Source organism: Homo sapiens, chromosome X (assembly GCF_000001405.40).
Source record: "Homo sapiens chromosome X, GRCh38.p14 Primary Assembly".
In the NCBI taxonomy this organism is placed as follows: Eukaryota; Metazoa; Chordata; class Mammalia; order Primates; family Hominidae; genus Homo; species Homo sapiens.
Genome location: NC_000023.11, coordinates 130043720 through 130058552, shown reverse-complemented (window position 1 = coordinate 130058552; position 14833 = coordinate 130043720). Strand labels below are relative to the sequence as shown.

Below are 14833 nucleotides of genomic sequence, written 5' to 3'. Positions count from 1 at the left end.
CACTGGCACAACAGTGAGGGCAGTGATGAGGCCATGCAGCCAGATGCCACCTCGGCAGGGTGGCCTAGGGCAAGCAGGGGACTTCCTTAAGGAGGCTTATTCCCACAGCCACCACAGAGAAGGCTACTTCCTCCAACCCTGCTACTCCTATGTAAACAAGGACTGCCCAGGCACCTGCTTCAACCCCAAACCAAAGCAACAGGAGCCAGATGCTCCATTTGCCCCCACTGGCCCCGCCCCCAGGATTTGCCCCTTTCTTTTTCTTTCCAGATCGTGACCCAATGTTCACTAGCCACTCCACCTTGCCTTTATTCATCGTACCCCTTGGGACCCACAGCTGCAAAGCAGGATGGCGGGGGCTCCCCATTTACTGAATCACAATGCCCACCTTCTGAAACCACCAAAAAGTCCCAAAGGGGAGGAGAGAAAAAGAGAGACGGGAGAGAAAAAGAGAGACGGGAGACAGAAGCCCTGACACAGGTTTTTCAGTATGCAAGTGTTTTTGACTCCACAGCCAGTTGCTTAAAATGAAACATAAAGGGCAGCCAGAATATACACCCAAATGCGAAAAAAGGAAAGGCAAACAGAACATGAAATAAACTACACAATACCAGGAACCCCAACAAAACCAACAAATTAAAGTCCAAAACCCCTCAACTTTATATATATATATGTATATATATATGTATTTTTTTTTCTTAAAAAGGGAAAACAACTGTTCAAAACCAACTGGGCAGTATGGTGGGGGTGGGGAGCAGTCCTACAGAAGGGGGCCGAGAACTTCCCCCCCAGGAACAAAGAACAAACACAATACAAAGAAAATAACCACCAATGCTCCCGCATGGCTCAGGAGCCTCTAGAGAACAGATTGTCCCATCCTCAAACTGGCTTTTTTTTTTTCCTTTTTTTTTTAATCTTTTTTTTTTCCATTTTCTTTTTTGTTGTTGTTGTTTTAGCACCTGTACAATAAAACTGTACCATCTCCAACCAGAGCCGGCCACGGCGAGGCCCTCCTGCCTTTGGATGGTACATACTCTACAAGGATTGTTCGGAAAAATAGCAATTGGTAGAAAAATAAGAGTGGGAGGGACAATGCCACAGAGGGGGCGGGGACAGGGAAGCAACCCAAGCTCCTCTCTCTCTCTCACTCGACAAACCCAGCGCTGGAGGCCCAGAGGCCAGGGGGAGGCCAGGTAGGGATACCACTCAGCCCCAGGCCCCCAGGCATGAGTGGAGCAAGGGCTGGAGACCACTTTCCTGCCCTTGCCTAGGAAACAGCTGACGCCTGGATTTCACATCCGGCAGTGAGTCCCAGAGCCCTCTGCAGATTCCCAAGGAGAATGAGGGGCTGAGGGAGGAGGTGGGAGGAGAGGAAGGAAAGGGGTGCTGTGAGTCTCAGAAGGGGCAGGGATGGGGGTGGCTGAGGGCTGGGAGGTGAGAGGCTCAGTATCTTGAGACAGGGAGGCCAGAACGGGGTGGGAGAGTGGAGGCAGGAACAAACTCGTATTGTGCACTCTGAGGGGGGCAGTGAAGAAGGCGTGAGGAGGGGGGCCACCCTCACCCCTCAGATCCCTTCTCCACGCTCCTTTATTAGAGTAACTTATTAACCCCTCACCTCACAATCCTCCCCTCCCTGTCAACACTAATCTCAAGATAGCGGGGCTGCTGCAAAGGGCGGGAATGGGTGGGTGGGGGAGCACCAAAGCCTCAGGATTTACCCCCAAGCCCCCAGCCCTGGGCCAGCAGCAACCAGCTTCGTTAGTCACAAGTCCATGTTCCCCCACCCCATTCCACCTCACCCCCTCCCCAGTGGGGGAAAAAAACACCAGGGAATAGCTTTGTCAGAGCTCATCAACAAAGAAAAAGAAAAGGAGGTACAGAAAGTCCCTCAATACAACAAGTTGTCTCAAATCGTCACAGTGATACAGACTTATCAGAAACCAATGAAACAATACAAATTAAATACTAATAAAATAAATACTACAGAAGACAGAAGAACACAGGGGAATGGAGTTGGGGGGCGCTCAGAGATCTGGGATTTTCTCATTTCTCCTCGGGACAGGCCAAGGCCATCCAGGGCCCAGGTTTGGTCTTGGTCATGAACAAGGAGGCCAGTCCAAGGGACCCCGGCGCCACCTCCCACCACCCCCGGGACCTCTTGTCCTCAGACATGGAGTTCAACTTTCCACCCCCATCAGCAACCACGATAACAATGACGACGACAGGGAGATGAGAACTAATTGTAACCAAAAAAACAAAAACAGTCCAGTCGCTAATGCTGGCATTGATAAGGCGGCTTCTTGTTGGTCCGTATTATTGCCTCATTCTGCAGTCTGGTGCTCGGTCGGGGAAAGACAAGGAGGTGGGGGAAGGGCGAACTCGGAAGGAGAAAGAAGAGGAGGGGCTGTTTTCCCGGTCAACTGTTGCAAGACTGGAATTCCACCTCGGACCCTAGGAGCCGAAGTAGGTCTGGCTCGTACCGCACCAGCTCCACAGTCTCAGAGGAGCCTGGGGGGGATCTGTCGTCCAAGCCTCCAGGCCTCTCGGCAGGGGTCAGCAGCTGACTGGAGGCCACCTGCCTGTAGAACTCGGCCTTGGGCATGGTGGTGATTTCAAAGTGCGGGAACCGGGCCTGAAAGATCCTCGAGGAAAGCTTCAGCCTCTTCAAGACATCGGAAAAGAGGAACCAGTTGCAGGGCCTGCAAAGGCAAGGATGGGAGTTATTGAAGGAGGCTGGAGGAAGCGGTGGGGGCACCGACCCAGAACACTCTGCAAAGCCCACAAAGGCTGCACGACCATCAATGTCTCCCATTATAACTCACTGCCAGTCTGGCTCCCCCGTCCCCTGCTAAACCACAGGCTCCTTGGGTATAGCTGAGGCAAATGTCTTCTCCTGTCCCCTGCAATGCCTGGCCCGGCTTTCAGCTAAATGGTGAGCACGCAATCAGTGACCACCTCTTCCAAAATAACACAAACAGGAGGCAAAGGGGCATTCTAGAACCTAAAACTCTTAGCAGGCTTCTTGGGGACTTAGCCTGCGCCCCTGTGACCTGGCATTTGCCATCTGCTGGGACCAGTCTTTCCTCCGACTCCCGCCCCTGCCAACCCTGGCTGCCTTCCCTTCTCCTGTTCTTACTCTTGCTTCCCTGGCCTCCTTGCTCTCCAAGATCTTCCCCAGCAGAGGGGGAGCCGTGGAGAAAGGCCTAAACTGCGGGTAATCCAAAAGGCATTTCTCTTTGGCTCTGGAATGCATTAGACAAGTTTTTTCTCCAGCAGCAGCACCATCGTTTCTGCAGGGCCAGAGCTCACATTACAGAAAGTGGAGTCTGACTTTGCTGAGCACACCCGACTGGGTGGCAGCCTGGGGACAGCTGGGAGGGGTGCTGGAGAGGCCGATCCCGGGCCAAACGCTTACATTGACTAATGCGGGAAGAAACGCTGCCTCCCCACATTAGTGGTCCCAGTTCACAGGGTTTTCCCTCCTCACTATTCCACTACCCCAGCTCCAGCCTTTGCCACTTCTGGCCTGGGCTCTGTCTTGTCAGCCTCCTAACCGGTTTCCCTTTGCCAAGAGTCACTCTTCTGCACCCCCACCCACCCTCACTGGATCTTCTGTTACCATTACAGTTTTCTTTTCTTTTTTTTCTTTTTCCAAGACGGAGTCTCTAGGCTGGAGTGCAGTGGCGCAATCTCGGCTCACTGCAACCTCCACCTCCCAGGTTCAAGCAATTCTCCTGTCTCAGCCTCCTGAGTAGCTGGGATTACAGGCACCCACGACCACGCCTGGCTAATTTTTGTATTTTAGTAGAGATGGGGTTTCACCATGTTGGCCAGGTTGGTCTCAAACTCCTGACGTCAAATGATCCACCCGCCTCAGCCTCCCAAAGCGCTGGGATTACAGGTGTGAGCCACCATGCCCGGCCACTAGCATGATATTATATGAGACCTTCTAACCTCTTCAGCCCAATGTCCACCCAGTCTCTCTCTTTCTCTGTCTCTCTCTCACACACACACACACCCCACATTGTATCCCCCACCCTACCAAGCACCAGCCACATGATAAAGGACTCCCCCTACTTTCTGAACTTGTATGTTTCAGTGCCTTGCTCCATCCTTCTCTCCTTCCAGGCCCAGCTCAGGTAGATACTGTATCACCTGTGAAACCTTCCCCCGGTGTAACTCATTGTTCTTCCATCTCCCATGGTCTCGTGGCATTTGATTCACATCCCTATTGTAATACTACTAACAAAACCCATTTCTGAAAGGGTTGCAAAAGAACCTTAAACTGTGGTTCACTCTGCAGCATAGCAATGGGGGCTCAGGGTGGACTGGAACTTTTTGCATTTGACACCCTTCTGAAACTGTTGGAGTTTTTTATAATAAATCTGCTTAGGACATTTTGTCTTTTATTAGAGTTAATTATATACTTGTCTGTCTACTGCACTAGATGGTGGATTCTTTGAAGGTCCCCAGGGTTTGACCTGGTGCAGCTGTTTAAGACATGTTTATAGAATCAAATGTTCTGTTCCAGCACCTTAAACATCTAACCAGACCCACGATCCTTATCCCTAAAATGGAACATTTCTCCCAAATGACAGCAAGCTCTTATCTCACATGAGTAGGAAATGGAGGGCTCTGGGTTAAGAAAAGGGGACTACAGATATCATACACTTGGACCATCACTTCCAAAGAATGGAAAAAAGCCCTGAGAACATTCACACTAGTGATGAGAATTCAGTCTTGCTTTGGTGATTCAGAAGGCCCTTCTGCACCCCATAGGGCCTCAGAGGCATCACTCTACGCTAGCACCCCCACCCCCAACTTCTTGAAGAACAGACATTTTCACAGTGTGCTGCAGCTGTGGGGAAAGGCAGCTCTAGAGCGAGCGCTAGAGGATGTCACGTCAGGAAAACCAGCTTTGCTGGTACCGGGCTCTGGGCTAACCACGTGCCTGCCACTCAGCTCGCTGAGGGGCACGCAGCCCTCCGTGGCCCGTGTTCTGTCTGCACCTAATGCAGACTACCCTGGTCCTTTTACTGCCTGAAGCCCAAGATCCTGTTTCAGAGAGGGAGGTGCTGAATACATCGGAGGAATTAATTAACCGTGCAATACTATATCCCAGAGGCCCCGCCCTGTCCTCAGGGATCAGCTTATGCCCAGAAGAATAAGGACCAAAAGCCCCTGAAACTTGATCCCTACTAGTGCCATCATACATGCTATTTTTATTCTGATCAGGCTATGCGTGTGGGGTGGTGGGGGGGAGGGCAGGGGATGCAAAGAAACTGTGGTCTAATGGTTAGAGCCCTAAACAGAGGCTCTCACTTAAAGACCTCCTCATCCATCGTCTACCTAGCTCCCCATCCTGTGCACATCATGCTGGTTCACTGACTTATTTTATTATTTTATTTTATTTTGAGACGGAGTCTCACTCTGTCGCCCAGGCTGGAGTGTAGCAGGCAATATCAGCTCACTGCAACCTCCGCCTCACAGGTTCAGGCGATTCTCCTGCCTCAGCTTCCCTCGTAACTGGGATTACAGGCACCCGCCACCATGCCCGCCTAATTTCTGTATGTTTAGTAGACGAGGTTTCACCATGTTGGCCAGGCTGGTCTGGAACTCCTGGCCTCAAGCAATCCACCTGCCTCGGCCTCCCAAAGTGCTGAAATTACAACTGCTGCGACCAGCCACTGGTTCACAGGATTTTAACATAGAGTTGACATTTTAAAAATAGATATCAAAGAAAAATTATCCTTACAATTGTTCGGAAAAGTATTTGAAATACATGAAGACACCAATCAGAGGGAAAAAATCATGGAGGCTAAGAATAAAAGGGCAGTTCAGCCCGCATTCTCCTTCTCTCAACCAGCACTTCCACACGCTGACATGTGGGGAAACCCAACAAGGGCCATGGCCCTGCCGGCTGTCGAACTCCCTCCAGAACCATCAAATAAGTATTAAATTGGGTTCAATCTAATGTTACGTGTCAGGTATATTCTATATTCTAGTCTCCTTAAATAAATGGGTGATCCCCAATATAATATGCACAGTCATCTAGGCTGACAATGTTGGCAGCACCACGCTACTAACATTACAGCACTGAGAAACTAGGCTGTGGATTACTGAAGGACCCTAGTGGCCCCATGGCTATGGCAACCATATGTCCTGGCTTTTCCAGCAATCTCAATTTCTAATGTTCTATCTGTTTACCCCCAGAAACTACAAAAATGTTCCAGAGATTCTAGCAGTTCATAGGCCCAAGTATCTCTCAGATTATCTTTTATACCCAGTAATAGTGCAAAAAAAGCCTTCCGAGAGAGAATCTAGATTTAAGGTTCAGGAAATGCAGATAGTCAATGTCCATGGAGCCTGCAGCCTCTAGTTTGAACATGACTACTCTGGGCTAAAAGGGCAGGCTAGCCTTTGTCATGTGTGATGGCACTCGTTGCCAGGTCTTCACTTCCTCGTGGAGAACTCCACCTTCCTACTGAGTGCCAGGATCCTGACACTCAGTCACCGTGGATCTCTCGGACACTTACCCGCGGGACACTGACACTTGGAGGTTGTAGCAAGGGAGAAGAGGCTTGTCTGAGAGTTCAAACATGAAATCATCCTCCTCCATCGGATCGTCTCCTTCTTGATCTGAGCTCCCAGGAGGATTATGTAGGAGGTCACAGGCAAACCCGTCTTTTTCCTCTGTAAGGGGAGCATATAGGGGATTAGGACTCAGATACATGTACAAAACCGAAGAAAAGAAATGCGCTAAGCAGATAAAGGGGCATGGAGGGGTGGTGGTTGGGAGGTAAATGACAAGGCCACAGGCCCCTAGTCAGGGATGCGGTTTGCCGGTTCCATGGCTCACATCCTTCAGAGGGCACATGAAAGTTCTAGTACTGAAAGAAATCATTGTGTGGCCAGAGATTTATTATATCACTCCCCCCTCCAACTGGCAAAAGCAAGGTGACGTCAAGGATGAGCTGCTCAGCTGTTGGGAGATGGAAGCCTGAAGATACTATCAGCAGACAAGGGCAAGGTAAAAACACCTGTCCTTCTCTAGCTGCAGCTTTCCCAAGCCACCTCACTGCCTGCAGGGCTCCCACGAAGCCCAGAGGGGGCTGAGCGGGTTCCTTTCCCCAGCCCACATTCTGGGTGTGGCCAGTTGCATTCCATCCTGACTTTCTCCCCTCCAGCTTCCCCCAAGGGTAGGAGTGGGTGTTTCCTTTCATCTTCAGTCCCTAGCCCAAAGGGCGAATGCTAGATGACCACCATGGATAAAGGCCTGCTGGTCTTCCAGGAGAGGAAAGCTGCGGCCAGAAGGCTAAGGGCTCCGAAGACAGTAGCTATTCCAAAAACTGCGTGTGCATCGTGGGGGCAGGGTAGGGAGGGAATGGTAGGTCTCAGGTGAGGGGTGGGGTCCCTCTTGAGTGTGAGCAATACTGGAATAGGTGACAGTGCTCATAGAGGCTTCTGGCAGGGTTAAGACAAAGCCAGGGAGAAGAAAGGGACCTCGGAAGAAAGAGAATTTTTTAAATGCCCAGGGTGGGGAGTGGTAGAGGGCTAGTGAGGGATGGCTGTGTCCAAACCAGTGCTGCATTTCCCAGTTTCGACAAATGACTTCTGAGTCTGCAGGGAAGGATGGGTTCAGGTTCAGGTTTGGTCTGAAAGGGTCTGTAAGCCACTAAAAGGTGAAGAAGGGATACCACCACAGGGCTACTCCTGTCCTTGAGAAGAAGGGTGGGAAGAATCTCACTTAAAACTTACCCAACACAGAACTGCTGTAAAAATCCCAGGATACACCGGGATCACCCTCTGCCCGGCCCTGAAGATCCGAGAGGTGATCTGATGAAAGAAGAGCAGGCAGTGAGACAAGGAGGTTAGGCTGGGGAAGGAATGTCCAAGTGAAGTCCATGCATACGGGGCTAAGGGAATGGGAGAAGGGAAGGAAGGACCACAAGAGAGTCCAGGAGTGACCAGAGAGACACACACTTCCTGTTCTCAGTCAGAGACTGCCAACAAGGGGACAGGAGACCAATCTAACCCACTGACTGCCTAGTGTTTGACCCAGTGCTTTAAAAGAAAAAAAAAATCCCAATTTGCTTCCAACATTTTAATTTTTTTTTTTAAGAGTCAGGGTCTTGCTCTGCCACCCAGAGTGCAGTGGCATGATCATAGCTCACGGCACCTTGAACTCCTGGGCTCAAGTGATCCTCCCACCTCAGCCTCCCGAGTAACTGAGATTGCAGGTGCATACCACCACACCTGGCTAATACTTTTTTTTTCATTTTTGTAAAGGATGGGGTTTCACCATGTTGCCCAGGCTGATCACAAACCCCTGAGCTCAAGCGATCCTCCCACCTCGGCCTCCCAAAGTGCTGGGATTACAGGCATAAGCCACCCTGCCTGGCCCCACTTCCGACATTTTTAAATTGGGCAATTTCACTTAAAAATCCAGATTTCCCAATATTTCTGTGAAAAAAAAAATCTGATCTGGCAACATTGTGTCCAAATTCCTGCATGTCAACAGCTGGCTGGAGGGAACAGGGACACACGCGGGCTGGGCTCCAATTCGCCACTCCCCACCCAGCCTGCTTCTCCCTTTTAAGCCTGAAGGCATTTAGGTTTGGGACCTCCACTTTATACGGTGTAGAGCTTTAACCCTGCAAGCAGAATCTTAGACCTATCCCAGGATTTTAATTCCCTGCTGGTCACAATGTTCATTTATCGAATCATAATCTCTCCAATGTATAGTAATATAAATAAGCATAAGTCCTTCTGGTTCATTTTTGAAGAACATGGGGAAATGGCCAGGTTTATCTTCATAAAATCCTTTTGCTTCCATTCCTAGGTATATATCCCAAAGAACTGAAAACAGGTGTTCAAACAAAAACTTACACATGAGGCCGGGCACAGTGGCGCACGCCTGTAATCCCAACACCTTGGGAGGCCGAGGCAGGTGGATCACCTGAGGTCAGGAGGTTGAAACCAGCCATGGCCAAAATGGCGAAATCCAGTCTCTACTAAAAATATAAAAATTAGCCAGGCATGGTGGCACACGCCTGTAGTCCCAGCTACTCAGGAGGCTGAGACAGGAGAATCCCTTGAACCTGGGAGGCAGAGGTTGCAGTGAGCCAAGATAATGCCATTGTACTCCAGCCTGGGTGACAGAGCAAGACTCTGTCTCAAAACAAACAAACAAACAAACAAACAAACTTATACATGAATGTTCACAGCAACTCCACTCACAAAAGCCAAAAGGTGGAAACAATCCAAATGCCCACCAACTGATGAAATTTGTGATGGAAATACTCAATGGTTCAGCTGCTGTGGAAAAGTTTGGTCGTTCCTCAAAAGGTAAAACACAGCATTACCATATGACCTAGCAATTCCACTCCTGCTATATACCCAAAAGAACTAAAAACAGGTTGTCAGACAAGTACCTCTCTGTGTGCACGTTCATAGCAGTTCTATTCATGGCAGCCAAAAGGTGGACATAGCCCAAACATCCATCAATGGATGAATGGATAAACAGACAAAAATGTGGTATATCCATACAGTGGAATATTATTCAGCCTTTAAGAGGAGATTCTGACACATGCTACCCATATGGATGCTACGTGACAGAAGCCAGACACCAAAGGTCCCATATTGTATGATTCCATTAAGATGAAATGTCCAGAAGAGGCAAGCCCATAGAGACAGAAAGCAGATTGGTGGTTGCCAGGGCCTGGGGGAGAGCGGGAGGGTATGCTTAATGGGGACAGGATTTTCCTTTAAAATTATGACAAAGTTTCAAAACTAGATAGTGGTGGTAGTTGCACAACATTGTGAATGTACTTACTGTCACTTAATTGTACACTTTAAAATGGTTAAAATAGTAAACTTTGGGTTCTATGTATTTGACCACAATAAAAGTTTTAACAATCTTTTGTTTACTTGCTCTACAGACAAGACAAGACAAATGAGGAGGCTAAGGCCACCGCTTAGCCTCCTCATTAGCTAGGCACTACCTAGTGGAATTGTTTCACCTCTTATTCCTACCTGAACAAAAAGTAGGTCCATTGGCTTTCACGACAAATCCAACTGTACCATCTAAGGGTACACATGGCTCAACCAATATGCCACCCTGTACAACTGGCAAGCTGACTTAGTTGTGTATGATTGCCACCAGCCCTCAGGTGACAGCTAGGCAACCGGACAGGAGACAGTCCAAAGGGCACAGGTGAGGTGAGGGTGCCCCCCAGAAAGCAAATCCCAGGAGGAAGTTGGCAGCCAACTTAAAGGAGCAGAGCTAGTTTCCCCCAGTGCGAAGCACCACCATGACCCAATATCCCTTTGGGATCATCCTATCGACAAGAACACCTATTAGCATTGTGAGCTACTGAAATGACTCATTTCTTTAGCAACCTTCCAGGTGATGGCGGGTTTCCCCCAGTAGGAAAAGGCAGCCAGAGAGAAGCTTTCAGAGTCATGGCTGAGCAACCAGAGTGGGAAACCTCTAGTCATGCACATTAGATCTTCTGTGCACTCCCTGAAAAACAACTGCAGTCCCGCTGTCGGCTCAGGTGCTCCTTTGTACCCCATGTCACTTGAGGGTTGGAAGTAGTTTCTTCCAGAAACATTTGTCAGTTAGGTGGGTGTGTCTTCTGTGCCTAGCCCTGTGTTAGGTGTCATGGGAGATTATGGAGTGAGAGCATAAGTTCTAAAAAGACAGGGACCATGCCTGTCCTGTTCACCATTGTCTCTGCCGTACCTAAACCCAGTGCCTGGCACATAGTAAGAGCTTAATAAATATATGGAGAGGAAAGGAGGGAGGAATTCCTACAAGGCGAGACTAGAAAGTGCTTGCTTAACCAACATGCCGAAACACATGCATTCAAATGACTGCTGTCCCCCTTCCCCACAAGAGGACACACAAGGATTCCATCGGAGCAGCCCTAACTCACCACATTCCTGGGGCTCCTCTCTGGGAACTTCCTTCAAAGCCTCTGGCACATTCCTCTAATTCTCTTCACTGACTACCAATCTTTGTCATTTGCAGGTGAATTTGCCTTTTTGAGACAGCCAAAAGTTAACTGGCGTGAGCAAAGAAGCTAAAGCTCAAACAGGCCCATGAGTGGCACACAGGAGGAGCTCCAAGATTTGGTCGGTGGTGTGGCTTCCATTACCATTTCCTCACGGACGTTCACATACAGTCCAGATGAAGAGGGACCTTCCTTTCCCTTGATTCCCTCCACCCCAGCCACGCTTCCAGCCCTTTTCTCTTATCCTTTCCTTGAAAAAGTACCCTAAGTCCAGCAATTCCACTCCTAGGTATATGCCCCAAAGAACGAAAATGGATACTCAAACAAGTATTTGTACATGCGTGCTCACAGCAGCCCCATTCAGAACAGCCAAAAGGGGAACACAGCCCAAATGTCCATCAATGGCGTATATATCCACATAAGAGAATATTAGTCAGCCATAAAAAGGAATGAAGAATTGAAACCTGCTAACACACGGCTAGACCTTGAAAACAGTATTCTACATGAAAGAAGCCAGACACAAAAGGCCCCATGCTGTATGATTCCATTGATATGAAGTGTCTAGAATAGGGAAATCCATAGAGACAGAAAGATTAGTGGTTGGGCGGGGGGCAGGGAGGAAGGGGGAATGGGGAGTAGCTGTTTAATGGGTGTGGGGTTTTATTTTGGGGTGATGAAAATGTTTGGGAGGCTGGGCGCGGTGGCTCACACCTGTAATCCCAGCACTTTGGGAGGCCGAGGCGGGCGGATCACGAGGTCAGGAGATCAAGACCATCCTGGCTAACACGGTGAAACCTCATCTCTACTAAAAATACAAAAAATTAGCCGGGTGTGGTGGTGGGCACCTGTAGTCCCAGCTACTTGGGAAGCTGAGGCAGGAGAATGGTGTGAACCCAGGAGGTGGAGGCTGCAGTGAGCCCAGATCGCGCCACTGCAGTCCAGCCTGGGTGACAGAGCGAGACTCCGTCTCAAAAAAAAAAAAATTAGCTGAGCATGGTGGTGCATGTCTGTAATCCCAGCTACTCAGGAGGCTGAGGCACGATAATCACTTAAACCTGGGAGGCGGAGGCGGAGGCGTCAGTGAGCCAAGATCACGCCACTGCACCACTCCAGCCTGGGTCACAGAGTGAGACTCTGTCTCAAAAAGAAAAAAAAAAAGAAAATGTTTTGGAACTAGATAGAGGTGGTTGCACAAGATAGTGAATATACTAAATGTCACTGAATTGTTTGCTTTGTTTTTATTTTTTTGAGACAGGGTCTTGCTCTGTCACCCAGGCTGGAGTGCAGTGGCATGAACACGACCCACTGAACCTCAACCTCCTGGGCTCAAGTGATCCTCTTGCCTCAGCCTCCTAAGTAATGGGGACCAAAGGTATGTGCCAACATACCCAGCTAATTTTTGTTACTGTTATTGTTGTAAAGATGAGGAATCACTCTGTTGCCCATGATGGTCTTGAACTCCTGGGCTCAAGTGATCCACCTGCCTCAGCCTCCCAAAGTGCTGGGATTATAGGTGTGAGCCAATGTGACCAGCCTAATTATTTCCTTTTAAATTGTTAATTTCATGTTGCATGAATTTCATCTCGATAAATTCTTTTTTAAAAAAGCACCCGCAGAAGCTCAGTGCAATGGCTCACACTTGTAATCCTAGTGCTTTGGGAGGCCAGGGCAGGCAGATCACCTGAGCTCAGGAGTTCAAGACCAGCCTGGGTAACATGGTAAAACCCAGTCTCTACAAAAAATGCAATAATTATTTTGGTGTGGTAATGTGTGCCTGTAATCCCAGCTACTCGGGAGGCTGAGGCAGGAGGATTGCTTGAACCCGGGAGGTCGAGGCTTCAGTGAGCCCAGACTGCGCCACTGCACTTCAGCCTAGGTAACAAAGTGAGACCTTGTCTATAAATAAATAAGTAAATAAATAAATAAAAATAAAAAGCACCCTCAGGCCTCATGGTAAGAATAGAGCCTCTCACCTCAATTCAAGAGGCTACCCCAGCAGTTTGTCTACTCCTCAGGGTCCGATCATACCCCTCCCCATCTCCTCTAACTCACTCACCAGCTGAGGGACTTGAAAGATGAGAAAAACAAAAAACTAGTGGTCTTCAACATGGGGTCATATGGCAGAGGTATCTAGCAGGAAAAACAATAACCTGTGATTCAGTGACTTCAAGCGGTAAACTACTAACCCTTTCATAGGTGGAAGGCAGAGTGTCCTGATACTTCCTCTGATGTCCCGAACCAAACTGCATCAACTCTGGGTAAGCCCTACATTCTTTCCAACAGACGAGGAAAAACAAGTCTGTTTTCCTTCAGCCAGCTTGGATATTGCTCTCTTCTTCAAAGGGACAAAGGTAAATCAGTCACATACCTGCCTGTAATTTGGCTGAAGGGGGAGGCCTTCCAGAGGCCTCTCAGGGAGTTTGGATGGCTTGGCGCTCCAAGCCCAAGCATGAGGTAGAAAGGGTTCACCGTCTGGCCTCCTGTACCCAGGACAGCACCTGAAATCTAATAGGTGCTCACTAAATGGACGGATGAACGAATGAATAAAGGAGTGCCACTCCATCCTTCATGATCTCAGGAGAAATGGGCCTCACCTTAAGTCAACCCAATATAAGAAAATCTACATTTACAACCCAGATGAATTATCTATCTTCTGCTTTACAAAAGGACTCACTTCAGGATACCGGAAAACAGTGACATTTCTTTGTACTTAGAAAAGGATTTACTGCTGGGCGCGGTGGCTCACGCCTGTAATCCCAGCACTTTGGGAGGCCGAGGCAGGCGGATCACCTGAGGTCAGGAGTTAGAGACCAGCCTGACCAACACTGTGAAACCCCATCTCTACTGAAAAAACAAAATTAGCCATGCATGGTGGTGGGCGTTTGTAATCCCAGCTACTTGGGAGGCTGAGGCAGGAGAATCGCTTGAACCCAGGAGGCAGAAGTTGCAGTGAGCCAAGATCGTGCCATTGCACTCCAGCCTGGGCGACAAGATCGAGACTCCATCTTAAAAAAAAAAAAAATTAAAGAAAAAAGAGAAAAGGATTTGATTCCCCCGACAACTTTCCACAACAGGGGCCTTTGCACACAGCCAGGGAAGCGCTACATGAGGCATAACCCTGACGCTAATGCTCACCTTTTCCTCCCGCCAAAAATGGAGCCCTGTGCACCCTAAAGGGATTCTCCTTCATTTTCTGCCCAGCTGGACTCCACTAGGGGAAGATGAAGACAATTAATCAACAGAGGGTCTAGTCAAGCAAATGCTTGGGGACAAAAAGCCAAAAGCATTTTAAATACCTCAGCCAGACAGCAAAGTAAAAAAATTAAAATCAGGCTGGGCGCGGTGGCTCACACCTGTAATCCCAGCACTTTGGGAGGCTGAGGCGGGTAGATCACGAGAGTCAAGAGATCAAGACCATCCTGGCCAACATGGTGAACCCCGTCTCTACTAAAAATACAACAAATGTCCAGGCGTGGTGGCTCACGCCTGTAATCCCAGCACTTTGGGAGGCCGAGGCGAGCGGATCACGAGGCCAGGAGATCGAGACCATCCTGGCTAACACGGTGAAACCCTGTCTCTACTAAAAATACAAAAAAAATTAGCCGGGCATGGTGGCGGGCGACTGTAGTCCCAGCTACTCCGGAGGCTGAGGCAGGAGAATGGCGTGAACCAGGGAGGCAGAGCTTGCAGTGAGCCGAGATCCTGCCACTGCATTCCAGCCTCCGTCTCAAAAAAAAAAAAAAAAAAAAATATATATATATATATATATATATATATATATATATATAACAAATTAGCTGGGCATGGTGGCGGGC

General features: G+C 48.9%; 1 protein-coding gene across 20 annotated transcripts in view; it reads right to left on the bottom strand.

Moving 5' to 3' along the window:
• The window catches only part of BCORL1 (BCL6 corepressor like 1), a 77759-nt gene continuing 63407 nt past the window's right edge, over nt 482–14833 (bottom strand). For all 20 annotated transcript variants that reach the window (XM_005262453.5, XM_006724777.4, XM_047442344.1 and 17 more), the window contains 3 exons: nt 7759–7836; nt 6537–6693; nt 482–2699 (listed from right to left, as the gene is read on the bottom strand). In XM_005262453.5, coding sequence (XP_005262510.2) covers nt 2417–2699; nt 6537–6693; nt 7759–7836 — 518 coding nt within the window. In that variant the 3' untranslated portion in view covers nt 482–2416. The remainder of the gene's footprint in view (nt 2700–6536; nt 6694–7758; nt 7837–14833) is intronic.